The sequence below is a fragment of the Homo sapiens genome, chromosome 1 (assembly GCF_000001405.40).
Source record: "Homo sapiens chromosome 1, GRCh38.p14 Primary Assembly".
Lineage (NCBI taxonomy): Eukaryota > Metazoa > Chordata > Mammalia > Primates > Hominidae > Homo > Homo sapiens.
This window is the reverse complement of record NC_000001.11, coordinates 63,381,265-63,403,469: the sequence shown is the minus strand read 5'-3', so window position 1 is coordinate 63,403,469 and position 22,205 is coordinate 63,381,265. Positions and strand designations below refer to the sequence as shown.

The 22,205-nt window shown below is 39.4% G+C and overlaps 1 protein-coding gene across 1 annotated transcript in view; it reads right to left on the bottom strand.

The window, feature by feature from the left end:
• Positions 1-22,205, bottom strand: part of ALG6 (ALG6 alpha-1,3-glucosyltransferase) — a 70,927-nt gene that overhangs the window by 35,084 nt on the left and 13,638 nt on the right. Inside the window, exons 3-4 of the mRNA NM_013339.4 lie at positions 6,873-6,957; positions 1,127-1,216 (exon numbers count right to left, since the gene is read on the bottom strand). Of these exons, the coding sequence (NP_037471.2) occupies positions 1,127-1,216; positions 6,873-6,957 (175 nt within the window). The remainder of the gene's footprint in view (positions 1-1,126; positions 1,217-6,872; positions 6,958-22,205) is intronic.

Here is a 22,205-nt window from a genome sequence, read left to right as displayed (position 1 = left end):
GTAGAACTGGGTCTTTACCAAAACAGAAGTTCCTTATCTTCTATAACTATTCAATTTCTTTAAAAGGAGGAGGAATTCCCATTTTGATCTTCAATCACAAATGAAACACTACAATTATTCTAGTTTCTAACTTGACAGATTAGTTGGTAACCATCTGGATCTATATTTTTCATTTACTTTGAGCTGTTCCAGAAAAAAAACTTTCTTATACACAACACATATTAGATATATTTCTTAGTAGTCTACACATATGGATAACATCTCTACTTCAAAACAAAACTAGGTTTTTCACATTTCTTGCTAGATGTCCTCCAAAAAAATTATAGAAATGTTCAAACTTTGATAGTTCTTTTTTTTTTTTTTTTTTTTTTTTTTGAGATGGAGTCTCACTCTGTTGCCCAGGATGGAATGCAGTGGCGTGATCTCGGCTCACTGCAACCTCCACCTCCTGGGTTCAAGCGATTCTCCTGCCTCAGCCTCCCAAGTAGCTGGGACTACAGGCATGTGCCACCACGCCTGACTAATTTTTGTATTTTTAGTAGAGATGGGGTTTCACCATGTTAGCCAGGATGGTCTAAATCTCCTGACCTCGTGATCCGCCCGCCTCGGCCTCCCACAGTGCTGGGATTACAGGCGTGAGCCACCACTCCCAGCCAATAGTTATTTCTTAAAACCCATTTGTAATACACAATACAATAGCAGTGGCTGGGTGAGGTGGCTCATGCCTGTAATCCCAGCACTTTGGGAGGCTGAGGTGGGCAGATCACTTAAGGTCAGGAGTTTGAGACCAGCTTGGCCAACATGGTGAAACCCCGTCTCTACTAAAAATACAAACATTAGCCAGGCATGGTGGCGGGCACCTGTACTCCCAGCTACTCAGGAGGCTGAGGCAAGAGAATCACTTGAGCCTGGAAGGTGGAGGTTGCAGTAAGCCGAGATTGTACCACTGCACTCCAGCCTGGGCGATGGAGTGAGACTTCATCTCAAAAAAAAAAAAAAAAAAAAAAAATACAATAGCAGCTACAAGCAATCTCTCCTCTAGTCAAGAAAGCCCCATCACACTGCTTCTTACTAAATCTGCCAAGGGCATAAAAATTTAGAGTTACATTAAGAAAGAAAAACTTACACATATGCACATAGGAGACTATGATAAGCTGTAAGAGGTGGGTAATCCAATCCCCAATACTGTAAATTGTTATCACTGCTGTTAAAATACCTGAAAAAGAAAAAAAGAAGAAAGCACCATTCCGTTAATCAATATTCAAGAAGTAGACTTATAATTTAACATTGCACCTCACTTATCTAAGCTTAATAATGTAATTTACTAATTATTAAGCTATTAATAATTAAGCCATGTCAATAGACACAAACCAGGACTCTCCTAGGCAAACTGGGATTTACTGTCATCCTACTATTAGTAGACTTCATCAATGACTAACACTCATACAACAAAAAATATGCAACAAAAAGAATAGGATTGTTTGTAACCAATTCAACCAACATGTAACGAGAGCCTCGTTACGTGCAAGGCTCTCTGAATTTTAGGAAGAAAAGTAGGTCTAATGTCCACAAATTGATAGGCTCCTCTGGTTAGCCAGAATGTGAAGGAAATATATACAACTATCATGACTCGAGAACTAAAAGTTAAGTTAAAATAATTTCTTAATCATGTCCTTTACAACTAGGCAGCTTCTTCTTCTATTCCATTTATTTTCTCAATCATAAGAATACAACAGTGCAAGCCAAACTATATAACCCATAAATAACCATTGTTCATAAGCTTATTTCTTTTTGAGACGGAATCTTGCTCCGTCACCTAGACTGGAGTGCAGTGGCGCAATCTCGGCTCACTGCAACTTCCGCCTCCTGGGTTTTTTTTTTTTTTAAGCGATTCTCCTGCCTCAGCCTCCTGAGTAGCTTGGATTACAGGCACCCACCACCAGGCCCAGCTAATTTTTGTATTTTTAGTAGAGACGGGGTTTCACCATGTTGGCCAGGCTGGTCTTGAACTCCTGACCTCAAGTGATCCACCCTCCTCGGCCTCCCAAAGTGCTGCGATTACAGGGGTGAGCCACCATGCCCGGCCTAACTTATTTCAAATGGGTCACAATTCCTCACTATCACAATCTCTTACTTTTTGAATTAAAAATATTTCTTTAAATTAGCATTCAACATGATCCCATCAAATAACCTATTAATCATCTTCGGAAGGTCTATTCTTAGTGTCAGTTACATAAAACATAGGTTTGTATGGAAGAGATGGGGATTAAAATTATCAAGGCATGGTAGACAGCCAAGACATCTGGGCATAGAGTACTACAGTATGGTACCAGCTGGTGGCCATTGTCCCTCCAGAAACATCCATGTGAACAATCTTGGGTTCCATGTCTGGCTGGGACTTGAAGCCAAGAAGCAGCGAGTCTAAGAATCTCTGGGTTAGTTGGAGCCCCTTTTGGCAGCTTGAATCTGGGAAACCGGGCCAGGCAAATAATGGAGACCAAAGGACCCACTTTTCTAGACAGAGATACCTGAAGACAGGCACCAATTATATCATTTCCAAATTCATGTTACTATATAGCATAAAGTTTTATTTTATCAGCCTCAGAGCTGTTGAAGCATTGAGTTAAACAAGTAAAGCTGTGAGGTCAGTGACTGACACAAAGTGCTCAATAGTAGTTCCAATTGGCTACTAGCCACAAAACAACTAAGATGGATACAGCAATGGAAAACCATCAAGTAATTCAAGAATCACATTTTGTCCAATACAACTTGATTTGGTTTTCAGCTTCTGAAAATAGACAAAACCTATTTTTTCATTTAGTTTAACCTTGAGATCCACTGGAGATGAGTAAAAGAGGCATTGACAGTAAGCTGCAAGCATGCAATGATATATACTAAAAATAAAGTCATTGGTTGGATTAGGAGGAAAAAAATATAGGATTTATAACAGTGCTCCCCATTCTTATGGAAATTCATAAAGCAGAACAAAGAGGCATAAGAGAAGATAGCTTAGAAGTGTTTCAAGTAAAGCATCAAAATATATCAGTAGGAATAAAGCAATTAGTTGATACTCCTGCTTTATATTTTATATATATATACATATATATACATATATATATACATATATATATACGTATATATATATATACGTATATATATATACATATATATACGTATATATATATACGTATATATATATACGTATATATATATACATATATATACGTATATATATATATATATATACGTATATATATATATATTTTTTTTTTTTTGAGACAGAGTTTTGCTCTTGTTGCCCAGGCTGGAGTGCAATGTTGCGATCTTGGTTCACTGCAACCTCCGCCTCCCAGGTTCAAGCGATTCTCCTGCCTCAGCCTCCTGAGTAGCTGGGATTACAGGCATGCACCACCACGCCCAGCTAATTTCATATTTTTAGTAGAGATGGGGTTTCTCCATGTTGGTCAGGCTGGTCTCGAACTCCTGACCTCGTGATCTGCCCGCCTTGGTCTCCCAAAGTGCTGGGATTACAGGCGTAAGCCACTGCGCCCGGCCTTACTTTAGATATATCAATACCCAAAAAGTTGTCTAAATACTATTTATACATTGAAATGTATTTTTCCACTGAATTCCCATGTAATCTCAGTAGATGTTTAGTAAGTAAAAAAAAAATGGCTGCCACACGAATTATAAAATTACATTCAAGAGTGTTACCATTAACTTTAAGATGTAGTTTTCTCTAACAGACAACCCACAGAGTCATATTTGGTATTTTTGTTTAAAGAAAAAAATTTTTAGCCTGAAACAGTTTCAAAGTTACAGAAAAGTTGCAAGAATAGTTGAAATAACTTACATACATCAAAATGTAGAAAGTTTTATAAGACAACAGACACCAATTACAGAACAAGACAAGAACAAACAGAAAGAAGACGTTTATTTTATACACGCATACACACACATGAGGAAAATGATTAAAGTGTACAGTACTGCTATACTGTCGTGGTAGACAGACTTTAAGGTCACCACTGAGAACACCATCTCCTGCTGTTCAGACTCCTGCGTGCATACAATCCCCTCCCCTTGAGCGTAGGCAAGTCCTGTGATTTGCATCTAACTAATACAATATGGTAAATGTGATAGGATATCACTCTTGTGCTTCTGTTTCACGTACATGTAATATTCTGTCTTGCTAGCAGATATACTAGACAGACTGCCTCTCACTGACTTTAAAGAAGCAAGCTGGCATATTTTAGTGCATGGCCATGTTGGAGAAGCCACATAGCAACAAATGGCATGTGAGCTCTAGGAGCCAAGAGTGGCTCCCAACAAGAAACTGAAGCCCTCACTCTTGCAGATGCAAGGAAACTAATTCTGCCAACAGCCTGAGGGAACTTGGAAATGGATCCTTCTCCATTTGAGCCTCTGATAAGTCTGCAGCCCAGCTGACACCTGAAATATAGCCTTCCCGAAACTCTGAGCAGAATACCTAGCTAAGCTGTGCCCAAACTCCTGATCTAAAGAAACTGTGATAATAAATGTGTGTTTTAGCAATTAGCATTTGAGGTCATTCATTACACAGCATAGAAAATTAGTATAACTATTTAAAAATCATACAAATCATTACAAAAATGATTATCCACTACAAACACGGGGGAAAGAAATGAACAAGCAATTTTGAAAAGAAATCTAATTATCGGCCAGGCACGGTGGCTCAAGCCTGTAATCCCAGCACTTTGGGAGGCCGAGATGGGCGGATCACGAGGTCAGGAGATCAAGACCATCCTGGCTAACATGGTGAAACCCTGTCTCTACTAAAAATACAAAAAAAAATTAGCCAGGCGTGGTGGTGGGCGCCTGTAGTCCCAGCTACTCGGGAAGCTAAGGCAGGAGAATGGCGTGAACCTGGGAGGCGGAGCTTGCAGTGAGCCGAGATCGAGCCACTGCACTCCAGCCTGGACAACAGAGCGAGACTCCGTCTCAAAAAAAAGAAATATAATTATCAATAAATACATTAGAAGATGCTCAGGTCACAATTACTCAAGGAAGTGCCAATTTTAAAAGTCCGGTATTACTAAATGTTGGTCAGGGTACGTAGAATGAGATATCCTGGTGTTACTTTAGAGCTTCCACTTCTAGGAATCTACCTAGAAAAAATGAGCACATAAGAAATAGACTTTATTTAATCATTCCCCTACTAAGAGACATTTAAAGTGTTTCGAGTTCCTCTTCCATTTGAAACACTCCAAACTCTGACTAGGGAACAGGCAACCTATCAATAGAAAACTCAATATGAAGTTCTTGCATAAAACTCTCTGATAAAGAGCTATATAAAAGCAGTAGCCAAAGCAGTCAACAATATAATATGAACAGTTTATATAGCCAGTCTCTAAGAGAATAACCTACCAACCATCTAGTAAGTCAATAAATAATGTCATCAACAGTTATCAGGATATGTTCAATAAAAATGACACAGGCATGAATTTCTATGATGCTATAACCAGAGCTAACATTTATTGAGAGTTCGTTACATGCTAGGGACTGGCCTAAGTGCTTTACATGTATCATTTTATTCAGTCCTCACAATAACCCAGTGAAATATGTAGTCTACTATTTTCATTCTATAAGTAATAAAACTGTGGTTGAGAAAGTTAAATGATTTGCCAAAGGTCACACAGCTAATAAATAGTAGAGCTGGGATCTGAACTCAGACAGTCTGACTCTAGCACCTACACTCTTTACCACTAAGCTACTGCTATTTTATACTTCAGGTAGATTTGTATACAAAATTAAGGTTAATCACCACTGCTCAATTATGATAGAGAGCAATAATAATTAACAAAAATGTCTATGAAGTTCTCTGAGTTTTCAGAAACAGACGGTTCAATATATACTGTATCATATAACAATGAAGGGTAGAGCTGACCTCCTCCTTCATAATACAAAGAGAAAGCTATGGAAATGAGACCATACGAAAACGAACACCTAGGCCGCACATGGTGGCTCAAGCCTGTAATCCCAGCACTTTGGGAGGTCAAGGTGGGTGGATCACGAGGTTAGGAGTTCAAAACCAGCCTGGCCAAGATGGTGAAACCCTGTCTCTACTAAAAACTACAAAAATTAGCCGGGCATGGTGACAGGCACCTGCAATCCCAGATACTTGGGAGGCTGAGGCAGGAGAATCGCTTGAACCCAGGCAGCAGAGGTTGCAGTGAGCTGAGATCACGCCACTGCACTCCAGCCTGGGCGACAGAGTGAGACTCCATCTCAAAAAAAAAAAGAAAAAGTGAACACCTAAATACTCATTCCTTCCACAGATTTTTATTGAGGGTCTACAATGTGCCATGCCCTATACTAGATGCACGGTATTCAAAGGTGAATCAAAAGGACACATGCGAAATTTCCAGAGTTGAAAACAAGTCCTATCATTGTAGGCTTCTCCCTTTGGTCCCCTTTTCAGATCTGCAAATTCAGCCATCAGCTACTGCCAAAGCTCTCTTTTATTTTTATCTATAGTTACAATCATAGTGATCTTTAGTGAGAGAAACAGTGGATGAGGGAACAGGGAAGAAATGTTTTTAGCCTATGATGGTGCTTCCATAGTTTATGTACAGAGGACATATAGACATTCAGAGTTTTATCATCAACGTTCTAGTTCAGCATCATAGCCCACCTAACTAAGTATATGAATTAACTTTCAGGACTATCAAATTTCAAAGACAGGCCTACAAAATGCAAGGCAATACATATGTGGCACCAGCATGCAAGAGATGAGGATGTTCAAGATGAAGAAAATAGCGTGTTGTCCCTTTAATATTTTCAAACAATCTGTATTAACTATGATAAACAAGAAAAACAAGTTAAAATTATCATACCATTGTTTGACCGGTAAATTAAAAGTTATTTCTTGCCAGTGTCTCTGAGCTTCATAATCACCAAACATAGGCGGTTTACCAGCACCTAAGATCAAAGGTAAAAAGAGCAAAACAACAATGTACTTTAGCATATCAGTGATTTTTATTTCCTTATGAAAATTGTCTAAATTAGAGAGGCAGTGTAGGTTACAGAAAGAACACAGGAGTTACCGAGAAAGTCAGAGAGATAAAATCTGAATCTAGCACTGCTGGCACACTGCTGGAGTGACGCTGGGCAAATTACTTAATCTCCCTAAACTTGAGCACATTAAAAACAGGATCAATACAACTTCCCTACTGCAGACTACTGGAATAAATAAGATAATGGATATAAAATACCCAGCATAGTGCCTGGCACATGGTAAACATTCAATAAATAGACACTATTATTAACATTACAATCATCCCTCAGTATCTGTGGGGGATTCATTCTAGGACCCCCCACTACCACAGAAATCAAACTTCATGGATGCTCATCCCTTATATAAAATGCCATAGTATTTGCATATAACCTCTGCTCATTCTCTTGTATACTTTAAATCATCTTTAGATTACTTATAATACCTAACAATGTAAAATGCTACATAAATAGTTGTTATACTGTATTGTTTAGGGGATAATGCAAGGGAAAAAAATCTACATGTTCAGTACAGGCACAATCATCCTTTTTTATTTCCCGAATATTTTCAATCCATGGTTGGCTGAATCCACAGATATAGAATCCATGGATACAGAGGGCTGACTGTACTCAATAATAATTATATCCAGGTTTATTTTTACTTCATAAGGCTGTCAACTATACTGCCCAATATGTACCATAAAATAGTAACACGAGTATCTGCATTTTATAAAGGACTTTTTTTTGAGACAGAGTCATGCTCTGTCACCCAGGCTGGAGTGCAGTGGCACAATCTCAGCTTACTGCAACCTCCACCTCTGGGGTTCAAGCGGTTCTCATGATTCAGCCTCCCGAGTAGCTGGGATTATAGGCGTGTGCCACCATAACTGCCTAATTTTTGTATTTTTATTAGAGACCGGTTTCACCATGTTGGCCAGGCTGGTCTCACACTCCTGGCATCAAGTGATCTGCCTGCCTCGACCTCCCAAAGTGCTGGGATTATAGGCGTCAGCCACCATGCCCAGCCATTACAAAGGACTTTTACAAACTATAAATAACTTAAGGTCAAGTATAGGGTCAAAAACAGACTATATGTTAAAAAGACATTAATTAGATCAGGCTTTGCTGTCAAATAAGTTGTATAAAAACTATTGCTTTACGGTTTGATTACTTTAATTTCAAAATTGCAAATAAGGGATAATGGATTTGTAATAACTAACACTTGATAGTGCTTACTATATACCAAATACAATGAACCTATGAAATAGGTATTATCTGGCCAGGCGCGGAGGCTCACACCTGTAATCCCAGCACTTTGGGAGGCCGAGGTGAGCAGATCACGAGGTCAGGAGTTCAAGACCAGCCTGACCAACATGGTGAAACCCTGTCTCTACTAAAAATACAAAAATTAGCCGGGCATGGTGGTGCGTGCCTGTAATCCCAGCTACTCAGGAGGCTGAGGCAGGAGAATCGCTTGAACCCAGGAGGCGGAGGTTGCAGTGAGCCAAGATCACACCACTGCCCTCCAGCCTGGGCGACAGAGTGAGACTCCATCCAAAAAAAAAAAAAAGAAAAGAAATAGGTATTATCATTATACCCACTTTATAGCTGGGAAAACAAAGGCAATGGCCATTCACGTAATAAGCAGCAAAGTCTGGATTTGAATCCAGGCAGACTGGCTCCATAATCCATGCTCTTAGCTCCTATTCTGTAATGCCTCATAAGTTGGTTAAGTAGCTTTTATTCTTAAATCATTTAAAATGACATAAAGGTGGCCGGGCGTGGTGGCTCACGCCTGTAATCCCAGCACTTTGGGAGGCCGAGGTGGGTGGATCACGAGGTCAAGAGATCGAGACCATCTGGCCAACATGGTGAAACCCCATCTCTACTAAAAATACAAAAAATTAGCCAGGGTGGTGGTGGGCATCTGCAGTCCCAGCTACTTGGGAGGCTGAGGCACTTGAACCCGAGAGGCAGAGGTTACAGTGAGCTGAGATTGCGCCACTGCACTCCAGCCTGGGCGACAGAGTGAGACTCCGTCTCAAAAGAAAAGAAAGAAAGAAAAAAAAAAGATGTAAAGCTATCTCCATTTAGTAAAGAGTAAACACCCACTCACTATTTAACTAACAGTTGACTACAAAATTGTGAGAAGGCCCAAAGAGGTACAGTATAATCACAGCTTTTTAAACTGGCATGTAAGGTAAAAATCACATAGAGTCAAATATACTAATTAACCCATTAGGAAGGTGTGCCATATTGAAGAATGACATATTATTGCTCACTGAAATCTAATCCAGATTTTCTCCAGTTTTACAACATTACATGAAGTGTTTGTATTTAATTGTTGAATTATACCAATATTCTTTAAACGCTATAATCTCTAAGAAGATATTCCCACTATGAGACAATCATGGGAAACCCAGATTAACTTTTCTATAGCATATATACATTGAGTGATTTGCACAAGAAATTAACCATAGTATACACGCATGTGTGTGGGTCTCTGTCTCTCTATCTCTCAGAAAGAAACTTAATAAGTTTTCTATTCTCAGAATGTAATAGCACCTAGTAGATTCTTAATGCCACCCTCATAGGTTATCAGTGAATGTTAATACAGCAAGGACGTTTAAGTTCAAAAGACTTGAGTTTGTGAGTCCCTGATTTTTCACTTACTGATCTGCAACATTAATTTGTGATGGCAGACCAATTAATTTTGCCGAGGTTGCTTTAACACAGTGCCATATATGAGTTCTCACCCAAAAACATTTTTAAGTTACTATCTGGCACTTTGAAATTCAAAGTTTCTGTTCATGCTTCTTATTCCATATTCTATACATCTATTTCTATCAACTCATATCCAACCTTCAAGCATCATCTGAAATCCTAAATCTTCCATGAAGCCTTCCTTCATAAATTAAAAACATATTGATCACTAACTACTGACTTCTCACAATACTTATACTTTCAGTTCCCATGTTTTATCATATGACTATACTATTTCTTAACTGCTAACCAGATAAGAATTTTATATCCCATAGGCAGAGAAACTGATTTTCCAGTGTCCAGAGAAAACATTGCTAGGCATATAGTACATTAAAAGTTTGCTTAATTAAACTGGAGAGGAAGAATAACCTACAATAATAAAAATTTTTTTAAGAAAAGAATTCCCCAAAGAATTAATTGCATTTTTGCATGTGTATTCTTTGGCTGGGTGGCGGGATTGGGGGCAGGGAGGGATATAAGTTTCTATTTTAAAGAATACAACCATTGAATATGGCTTCTTTGGGGGTGGAAAGGAGTTGACTTTCCTTTTTATTTGTTTTGTTTTTGTTTTTGGTCCACTGGGATAATAAAAGTCAGAGAGAATCTTAAGTAATTTCCTATACCTGAAGAAATCCAACTATCTAGATTTTCTGAAATTGCTCTAGACTTGTGGTCAATGTGGAAGAATTTATTACCATTCTCTAACAAATAGAAGAATGGATAATGACTCTCTTTAGGGTTGGGAAACAAGTTCCTATCCAGAGTCTGACCTACTTCAATAAATTCAGCTGACACTGAGTATGAAATTAGTACTTAAGTTTTTAAAACAGCTAAAGTGCCCTTAAAGCAACCCAGAAGGACAACCCAACTGTACCTATGGGAGCTTCACTTGGGAAGGGCAAAAAACGATTCCTTCCACAGTGCTTAATTCTACAAATTCATTTACATAAGATTCAGAATTACATAAAGAAAACACACTAATGTATATTTACTCAGCTTCAATTCTGTCTCATTCTCAGAAAAATGGGCTTAAGCACTACTTAAATGTTCATTTTATTAATTGTTGAACTATTCATAATTATGTTTGAATTTTAAAAACAAGTAGTTTTGTTGTTAACAATACCTACTAACTGCCTTTAAATTAAAATTTTAAACATTTTAGAGAAGAGAATTTGGCTAAAATTTTCCATAATAAAATCTTCCTTTTGGCAGGGTGTGGTGGCTTATGTCTGTAATCACAGCACTTTGGGAGGCCAAGGTGGGCAGATCACCTGAGTTCAGGAGTTCAAGACCAGCCTGACCAACATGGTGAAACCCCGTCTCTACTAAAAATACAAAAATTAATTGGGTGTGGTGGCACATGCCTGTAATCCCAGCTACTTGGGAGGCTGAGGCAGAAGAATCAACTGAACCTGGGAGGCAGAGGTTGCAGTGAGCCGAGATCATGCCATTGCACTCCAGCCTGGGTGACAGAGCAAGACTTGTCTGAAGAAAAAAAAAAAAAATCATCCTTTTATATTTTCCATAGCAATGGGTAAGTAGAAAGAAACTAAGCAGTTAAATGGAACACAGTCATACTTTAGTAATGATGTGCTACAAAAACTGATTCTCTACAACTTTCTCATCAAACAGCCAATGCAGCTTTGGGGAAAAAAAAAGTTATTAAAATAAAATAACTTTCCCCAGCTCAAGTGTTGCCATTTGCCTTAAAGACACTGGTAACACTTTGGATCAAGTATAGAGGAACTGTGAATCTCTACAAGAAACGGTAAACAATCAATACTAAAATCAAAATTTTTCTACTCCCCATGGATTGTTTAAAAGCAACAAACAGTATTTATTCAATATTTTTAGGTCTCTGAAAATTAATGTATATAAGCATCTCTAAAAGCGTAAGGGATAGACATTTCAGAAAAAATCAAATTACAATAATATACATAAGCCATTTTCCTAAATAATACATACATTTCCAAAGGAGGAATAATGCATTAATACTAAGCAAGCTAACCTGAGTTTCCACACTTGAGTGTGATGGAGTTCTGAACATTCAACTTCAAAATCTGGCACCTTGGCATATTGAATATTTTAAGCTAAAGGAATCTGAGGAAGGGCAGGTGCAGGAAGAACTGACCATCCCCTGAAGCAGATCATAAAATCCTCATGTGAGAGGTGCCCTCCCTATACCCAGAGAAAAGAAGCATCTTTATCTCCAAAGGTAAAAGGATACCCAGAGGAACCAAAATGAACAGGTTTTGCCAAGTTTCCCGTTTACTACTCTTGACTCATACTCTATTGTCCTATCACATTTTCTACAACTCTCCCCTCTTCATCAAAGTTAGTATAAAAACACTCAGGTTTAACTGTTTCTTCGGGTCTTCATTTCCTTCTGAAGGTTTCAAACTTATATTCAATAAATGCGTTATGTTTTTGTCTTGTTAATCTGTCTTTTGTTACACGGGCACATTAGAGAACCTAGAAGGACAGAAGGAAAATGTATTTTTCCTCTCCTGTAAGTGCTTCTTAATTACAATCTTAAAACAAGATAAACCAAAAGCAAACTAAAATAAGCATATTAAAAAACAAACTATGACAGAGGAGGCAGAGCAGGATGGCCAAATAGAACCCTCCAGCAACTGTCCCCCTGGCAGGAACACCAAATTCAACAGCTATCCCCACAAGAAAGTACCTTCATAAGAATCAAAATCAGTTGAGCAATCACAGTACCTGGTTTTAATATCATATCAAGGAAAGAGGCACTGAAGAGGGTAAGAAAGACAGTATTGAATTGTCAACATCACTTCTCCATTCCCCAGCAGCAGCTGCATGGCATGAAGAGAGAATCTGTGTGTTTGGGGAGGGAGAGTGCAGTGACTATGGGACTCTGCACTGGAACTCAGTCTTGCTTGTCACAGCAGAAAGCAACACAGGGCAGAATTCAGCTGGTACCTATGGAGGGAGCATTTAGGCTAGTCCTAGCCAGAAGGGAATGGTCCATCCCAGCAGTAGGAACCTGAGTTCCAGATAGGCACACCACTGTAGGCTAAAGCACTCTGGGGTCTTAAATAAATTTGAAAGGCAGTTTAGACCACAAGGACTTCCTAGGCAAGTCCTGGTGCTGTGTTGGACTCAGACGCAGTGGACTGGGGGTGCACATGACCTAGTAAGACACCAGCTAAGGCAGCCAAGGGAGTGCTTGCATCACCCCTCCCTCAACCCCAGGCAGTATGGCTTAAGGATGCCTTCTGCTTAAGGAAAGGAGACTGGAGAGTAAAAGAGGACTTTGTCTTGCAACTTAAATACCAGCTCTGCCACAGCAAAATAAGGTACCAGGCAGAGTCCTGAGGCCCACATTCCAGGCCCTAGCTTCAGGCCACAGTGGAGCACAGCACCAGGCAGACTCCTGGAGTCCCGGATTCCAGGCCTGGCTCCTGATTAAGGTTCCTAACTCCAGGCCTTGGCTCCCAGACAGCATTTCTGACCCAACATAGGCTGTGGACTGGGGAAGCTGCCACCCTAAGGAAAGGGCATAAGCCTGGCTGGATTCAATACCTGCTGATGAAGAACCCTTGGGCCTTGAGTGAACATCGGCAGGAATCAGGCAGTGACTGCCGCAGGCCTTGGGTAAGACCCAGTGCTGTGCTAGCTTCAGGTCTGATGTAGCACAGTCCCAATGTGATGGCCACACGGGTACTTTTGTCACCCCTCCTCCAGCTCCCATCAGCTCAACATGGAGAGACAGACTCCATTTCTTTGGGGGAAAGTAAGGGAAAAGAACAAGAGTCTTTGTCTGGTAATCCAAAGAATTCTCTCAGATTTGTTACCCAAGACCATCAAAGTGGTACCTCTATGAGCCTGCAAGAGTCACAGTGTAACTGGGCTTGGGTTGCCCCCTAATGCAAATATGGCTGCAGCGACCATGGATGACAACACTCAACTCCCTTTGAATACTTGGAAAGCCTTCCCAAGAAGGATGGGTATAAATAAGCCCAGACTGTGAAGACTACAATAAATACCTAACTTATCAATATCCAGATGAATATCCACAAGCATTAAGACCATCCAGAAAAACAGGACCTCACCAAAGGAACTTAATAAGGCACCAGCAACCAATCTCAGAGTGATAGAGGTATGTGACCTTTCAAACAGAGCATTCAAAATAACTGTTTTGAAGAAACTCAAAAAATTCAAGATATAACAGAGAAGGAATTTAGAATTCTATCCTTAACAGAGATGGAAATAATTTGTTAAAATCAAGCAGAAATTCTGGTGCTAAAAAATTCAATTGACATACTGTGGAATGCATCAGAGTCTCTCAACAGCAGAATTGATCAAGCAAAAGAAAGAATTAGTAAGCTCAAAGGCAGGCTATTTGAAAATACACAGTCAGTGGAAACTAAAGAAAAATAAGAATGACAAAAGAAGCATGCCTAGAAGATCTATAAGATAGCCTCAAATGGACAAATCTAAGAGCTTCTGGCCTTAAAGAGGTAATAGAGAGAGAGAGAGAGATCAGGGTAGAAAGTTTATTCAAAGGGATAATAACTGAGAACATTCCAAACCTAGAGAAAGATACCAATATTCAAGTACAAGAAGGTTATAGAACACCAAGCAGATTTAATGCAAATAAGACTACCTCAAGACTTTTTAACAGTCAAACTCCCAAAGGTTAAGGATAAAGAAAGAATCCTAAAAGCAGCAAGAAGAAAGAAACAGCATACAAAGGAGTTCCAATACATCTGGCAGCAGACTTCTCAGTAGAAAGCCACACAGGCCAGAAGAGAATGGCACAACATATTTAAAGTACTGAAGGAAAAAAAAAGCTTTTATCCTAGAATAGTATATCCAGCAAAAATACCTGTCAAACATGAAGGAGATATAAAGATTTTCCCAGACAAAAACGCTGAGGGATTTCATCAACACTAGACCTATCCTGCAAGAAATGCTAAAGGGAGTTCTTCAACCAGAAAGAAAAGGGCATTAATAAGCAATAAGAAATCATCTGAAGGTACAAAACTCACTGGTAATAGTAAGTACACAAAGTATTTTAACACTGTCATTAAGGTTTGTAAACTACCCATATCTTGAGTAGAAAGACTAAAAGATGAACCTATCAAAAATAATAACCATAACTTTTCAAGACACAGAATAAAATATAAATAGAAACAATAAAAAGTTAAAAAGCAGGGGAATAAAGTGTAGAGTTTTTGTTAATTTTCTCTTTGCTTATTTGTTAGTTTTTACAATCAGTATTAAGTAATCATTAGCTTAAAATAATGAGTTATAAGATGTTATTTGCCAGCCTGGGGAACATGGCCAAACCCCCATCTCTACAAAAATACAAAAAATTAGCTGGGCATGGTGGCATGTGCCTGTAGTCTCAGCTACTTGGGAGGCTGAGGTGAAAGGACAACCTGAGTCTGGAAGGCGGAGGTTCCAGTGAGCCAAGATCACCTCACTTAGGCCAGGCGCGGTGGCTCATGCCTGTAATCCCAGCACTTTGGGAGGCCAAGGTGGGCAGATCACTTGAGGTCAGAAGTTTGAGACCAGCGTGGCCAACATGGTGAAAACTCGTCTCTACTAAAAATACAAAAAAAATAGCCGGGCATGGTGGCGTGCACCTGTAATCACAGCTACTCCACAGGCTGAGGCAAGAGAATCGCTTGAACAGTCTGTTGCCTACAAGAAACATACTTCATTTATAAAGACACACATAGACTGAAAATAAAAGGATGGAAAAAGATATTCCATGCAAATGGAAACCAAAAAGAGCAGGAGTAGCCATACTTACATCAGACAAAACAGATTTCAAGACAAAAGCTATAAAAAGAGACAAAGAAGCTGGGCACGGTGGCTCACACCTCTAATCCCAGTACTTTGGCAGGCTGAGGCAGGCGGATTGCCTGAGGTCAGGAGTTCAAGACCAGCCTGGCCAACACGGCAAAACCTCGTCTTTTCTAAAAATACAAAAATTAGCTGGGCGTGGTGGTGCACACCTGTAGTCCCACTACTTGGGAGGCTGAGGCAGGAGAATCACTTGAACTCTGGAGGCAGGAGGTTGCAGTGAGCCGAGATCACACCACTGCACTCCAGCCTGGGCAACAGAGCAAGACTCTGTCTCAAAAAAAAAAAAAAAAAAAAAAAAAAAGAGAAAGACAAAGAAGGTCATTATATAATGACAAACGGGTCAATTCAGCAAGAGATATAACAATGGTAAATATATATGCATCCAGCACTGGAGCACCTAGATATATAAAACAAATATTATTAGAGCTAAAGAGAGTGTCTCCAATAGGGTAATAGCTAGAGATGTCAATTTCAGCACTGGACAAATCATCCAGACAGAAAATCAACAAAGAAACATCAGACTTAATCTGCAGTGTAAACTAAGTGGACCTATCAGATATTTATACAACATTTCATCCAATGGCTAGAGAATATACACATTCTTCTCCTTGGCACACAGATAGACCATACGATAGACCACAAACAAGTCTTAAAAAATTCAAAACACTGATATCATATCAGGTATCCTTTCTAACCACAATGGAATAAAACTAGAAATCAATAACAAGAGGAATTTTGGAAACAGTGCAAACACATGGAAATTAATCAATATGATCCTGAATGCCCAGTGTGCCAACGAAGAAATTAAGAAGAAAATTTAAAAATTTCTTCAAACAAATGAAAATGGAAACACAACATACCAAAACCTATGGGATACATGAAAGTAGTACTAAGAGGAAAGTTTATAGCAATAAGTGCCTATGTCAAAAAAGTAGAAAAACTTCAAATAAACAACCTAATGATACATCTTAAAGAACTAGAAAAGCTACAGCAAAATAAACAGAAAATTAGTAGAAGAAATAGTAAAGATCAGAGCAGAAATAAACGAAGTTGAAAGATCAACAAAACAAAAAGTTGGTTTTCGAAAAGATAAACAAAATTGAGACACTTTTAGCCAGACTAGGAAAAAAAGAAAGAAGACTTAAATAAATAAAATCAGAGATTAAAGAGGAGACATTACAACCAATACTGCAGAAATTCAAAGGATCACCAGAGACTACTATGAGCAATTATATGCCAAAAAACTGGACAGCCTAGAAGAAACTGATAAATTCCTAGACACGTACAACCTACCAAGACTGAACCAGGAAGAAATCCAAAACCTGAACAGATCAATAACAAGCAATGACATCAAAGCAGTAATTAAAAGTCTCCCAGCAAAGAAAAGCCTAGAACCTGATGGCATCACTGTTGAATTTCACTAAACATTTAAAGAAAAATCCTAATATCAGTCCTATTCAAACTATTCCAAAAAATAGAGAGAATACTTCCAAACTCATTCTACGAGCCCAGTACTCCTAATAACAACACCAGAGAAAGACATATTAAAAAAAGAAAAAAAAACTACAAGCCAATATCCCTGATGAACATTGATGCAAAAATCCACAACAAAATACTAGCAAACTGTAATCAACAGTGCATTAAAAAGATCATTCACCATAACCCTACAGATAAATCCCACGGATGCAAGAATGGCTCAACATATGCAAATCAATCAATGTGGTACATCAAATCAACACAATGAAGGACAGAAACCATATGACCATTTTGGTTGATGCTGAAAAAGTATCTGATACAATTCCACACCCCTTCCTGACACAAACCCTCAAAAAATTGAGTTTAGAAAAAACATACCTCAACACAATAAAAGCCATACATGACAGACCCACAGCTAGTATCATACTGAATGGGGAAAAACTGAAAGCCTTTCCTCTAAGATTTGGAACAAAAGAATGCCCACTTTCACAACTGTTATTCAACATAGTGCTGTTAGTCTTAGCTAGCGCAATCAGACAAGAGAAAGAAATAAAGGTCACCCAAACTGGAAAGGAAGAAGTCAAATTATCCTTGTTTGCAGATGATATAATTTTATATTTGGAAAAACCTTAAAACACCATAAAAAAACTATTAGAACTGTAAAACAAACTCAGTAAAGTCACAGCATAAAAAATCAACATACAAAAATCACTAGTACTTCTGTATGCCAATGGTGAACAATTTGAAAAAGAAATTTGAAAAATCTCATTTACAATAGCCACAAATAAAATTAAATACCTAGGAATTAACTAAAGAATAAAAGATCAGGCCAAGCACAGTGGCTCAAGGCCGGGCGTGGTGGCTCACGCCTGTAATGCCAGCACTTTGGGAGGCTGAGATGGGCAGATCACAAGGTCAGGAGTTCAAGACCAGCCTGGCCAACATGGTGAAACCCCGTTTCTACTAAAAAAAAATAAAAATAATACAAAAATTTGTCGGGCATGGTGGCATGCGCCTATAATCCCAGCTACTCAGGAGACTGAGGCAGGAGAATTGCTTTAACCTGGGAGGTAGAGGTTGCCGTGAGCCAAGATCATGCCATTGCACTCCAGCCTGGGTGACAGAGCGAGACTCTGTCTCAAAAAAAAAAAAAAAAAAAAAAAAAAAAAAAAAGAAGAAGTAAAAGATCTTAATAAAAAACTATAGAACACTGATGAAAGAAATTCAAAAAAATGGGAAAATATTCCATGTTCATGGATTGGAAGAATCAATATCATTAAATGTCCATTCTACCCAAAGCAATCTACAGATTCAATGCAATCTCCATCAAACTACCAATGATATTCCTCACAGAAATAGAAAAAATAATCCTAAAATTTATATGGAACCACAAAAGACCCCAAATAGTCAAAACTATCCTAAGCAAAAAGAACAAAACTGGAGGAATTACATTACACTGACTTCAATTTTACTACAGAGCTACAGTAACCAAAACAGCATGGTACTGGCATAAAAACAGATACCTAGACCATGGAACAGAATAGAGAACCCAGAAACAAATACACACATCTACAGTGAACTCATTTTTGACAAAGGTGCCAAGAACATACACTGGGGAAAAGAGAGTCTCTTTGGGGGAAAATTGGATATCTATATGCAGAAAATGAAACTAAACCCCTATCTCTCATCAGATACAAAAATCAAATCAAAATGGATTAAAGACTTAAATATACGACCTCACACTATGAAACTGCTCCAAGAAAACACTGGGGAAACTCTCTAGGACATTGGTCTGGGCAAAAATTTCTTGAGTAATACTCTACAAGCACAAGCAACCAAAGCAAAAACGGGCAAATGGGATCCATGAAGTTTAAAAGCTTCTGCACAGCAAAGGAAGCAATCAACAAAGACAGAACCCACAGAATGGGAGAAAATATGCGCAAACTACCCATCTGACAAGGGATTAACAACCAGAATATATAAGGAATTCAAGCAACTCAATAGGAAAAAAAATTAAATAACCCAATTAAAAAATGGGCAAAAGATCTGAATACACATTTTTCAAAAGAAGACATACAAATGGCAAACAGGAATATGAAAAAGTGCTCAACATCACTGATGATCAGAGAAATGCAAATCAAAACTACAATGAGACATCATCTCACCCAGGTAAAATGGCTTTTATCCAAACGACAGGCAATAAAGGAAATCCATATATTGAAAAGATAGCTCCACTCTTATGTTTATTGCAGCACCGTTCACAATAGCCAAGATTCGCAAGCAACCTAAGTGTCCATCAGCAGACGAATGAATAAATAAAATGTATATGCAATGGATTCAGCCATAAAAAAGAATGAGATCCTGTCACTTGCAACAACATAGCTGGAACTGGAGGTCATGATGTTAAGTGAAACAAGCCAGGCACAGAAAGACAAACTTTCAATATTCTCACTCATTAGTGGGAGCTAAAAATTGAAACAATTGAACTCTTGGAGATGAAGAACAGAATTATGGTTACCAGAGGCTGAGAAGAGTGGGTGGGGTAGGGAAGATTAATGGATTCAAAAATATAATTACACGGAATGAATAAGATCTAGTATTTGATAGCTCAACAGGGTGACTGCAGTCAACAATAATTTATTTTACCATTTTTAAATAACTGAAAGTATAAATGGAATGTTTATAATACAAAGAATAAATGCTTGAGGTAATGAATACCTCATTTACCCTAATGTGATTATTACACATTGTATGCTTGTATCAAAACATTTCATGTTAGCCAGGTGCAGTGGTATGTGCCTATAGTCCTGGCTACCTGTAAGGCTGAGGTAGGAGGATCACTTGAGCCCAGGGGATCAAGGCTGCAGTGAACCATGATGGCACCACTGTACTCCAGCCTGGGTGACATAGTGAGATACTGTATCTAAAAAATAAAATAATGGCCAGGCACGGTACCTCATGCCTGTAATCCTAGCACTTTGGGAGGCCAAGGTGGGCAGATCGCCAGGAGTTCAAGACCAGCCTGGACAACATGATGAAACCCCATCTCTACTAAAAATACAAAAAAAATTAGCTAGGCATGGTGGTGAGCACCTGTAATCCCAGCTACTTGGGAGGCTGAGGCAGGAGAATCACTTGAACCCAGAGACAGAGGCTACAGTGAGCTAAGATTTCACAACTGCACTCCAGCCTGTGCTGGAGCACAGGGCAATGGAGCGAGACTCTATCTCAAAAAAATAAAAATAGGCTGGGCATGGTGGCTCACGCCTGTAATCCCTGCACTTTGGGAGGCCAAGGCAGGTGGATCTCCTGAGGTCAGGAGTTTGAGACCAGCCTGGCCAACATGGTAAAACCCCGACTCTGCTAAAAATACAAAAACTTAGGCCAGGTGCGGTGGCTCACGCCTGTAATCCCAGCACTTTGGGAGGCCGAGACGGGCGGATCATGAGGTCAGGAGCTCGAGACCATCCTGGCTAACATGGTGAAACCCTGTCTCTAATAAAAATACAAAAAAATGAGCTGGGTGTGGTGGCAGGCACCTGTAGTCCCAGCTACTCGGGAGGCTGAGGCAGGAGAATGGCATGAACCCGGGAGGCAGAGCTTGCAGTGAGCCGAGATCGCGCTACTGCACTCCAGCCTGGGCGACAGAGCCAGACTCCGTCTCAAAAAAAAAAAAAACAAAAAAAAAAAAACAAAAAAAAACAAACAAAAAAAAACTTAGCCAGGCATGGTGGCACGTGCCTATAATCCTAGCTACTCAGGAGGCTGAGGCAGGAGAACTGCTTGAACTCGGGAGGCAGAGTTGCAATGAGCCAAGGCCGTACCACTGCACTCCAGCCTGGGTGACAGAGCGAGGCTCTTGTCTCAAAAAAATAATAAATAATAAATAATCAGCTGGGCGCTGAGGCGGGCAGATCACTTGAAGTCAGGAGTTCGAGACCAGTCTGGTCAACATGGTAAAACCCCATCTATACTAAAAATACAAAAAATTAGCTGGGCGTGGTGGCTCATGCTTGTAGTCCCAGCTACCTGGGAGGCTGAGACAGAAGAATTGCTTGAACCGGGGAGGCAGAGGTTGCAGTAAGTCGAGATGGCACCACTGCACTCCACTCTGGGCGACACAGCAAGACTCCATTTCAAAAAATAATAATAAAATAAAAATTTAAAATAATAAAAATATAAATAAAATTTTTAAAAAAAAAATCTCATGTGACCCATGAATATGTACATCTACTATGTACCCATACAAATTAAAAGCAAAAAAACTTTTAAAAAACAACAAAAAAAGAAATTATGAGCTGGGAGCAGTGGTACAAGCTGAGATATTTTACAATACATAAAAATGATGCATTTCTATTGGGAGGCTAGGTGGGAGGACCACTTGAGGCCAGGAGCCCAAGGTTACAGTGCCTGATGATCACATCCTGTAAATAGTCACTCTACTGCAGCTTGGGCAACATAGTGAAAACTCACTTCTTAAAAACAAAACAATACAAATTAGGATACCAAAAATAGTATTTTAATCAACAGAAGGAACAATATCTCAGCAGAATCACAGATGTTATTCATTAATTCTCCCAACCTCCAATGACACATTAAGTCCCTCACACGTGAATGCTAAAAATGTTATATTCTTTATGATGGAGTTGAGTTCTATAATGGAATCCTCTCCCCTCCCCTCCCCTCCCCTCCCTTCCTTCTTTTCTTTTCTTTTAAACAGGGTCTTGTTCTGTCACCCAGGCTGGAGTCCAGTGGTGTGATCACGGCTCACTGCGGCCTTGACCTTCTGGGCTCAAGGGATCCCCCCTCAGCCCCCACTATCAGTAGCTGGGACTACAGGCATGCGCCACCATGCCCACCTAATTTTGGGGTTTTGTTTTTGTTTTTGTATTTGTTTTTGTCTTTTGAGACGGTCTCGCTCTGTCGCCCAGGCTGGAGTGCAGTGGTGAGATCTCAGCTCACTGCAAGCTCCGCCTCCTGGGTTCATGCCATTCTCCTGCCTCAGCCTCCCTAGTAGCTGGGACTACAGGCGCCCGCCACCACGCACAGCTAATTTTTTGTATTTTTAGTAGAGACGGGGTTTCACCGTGTTA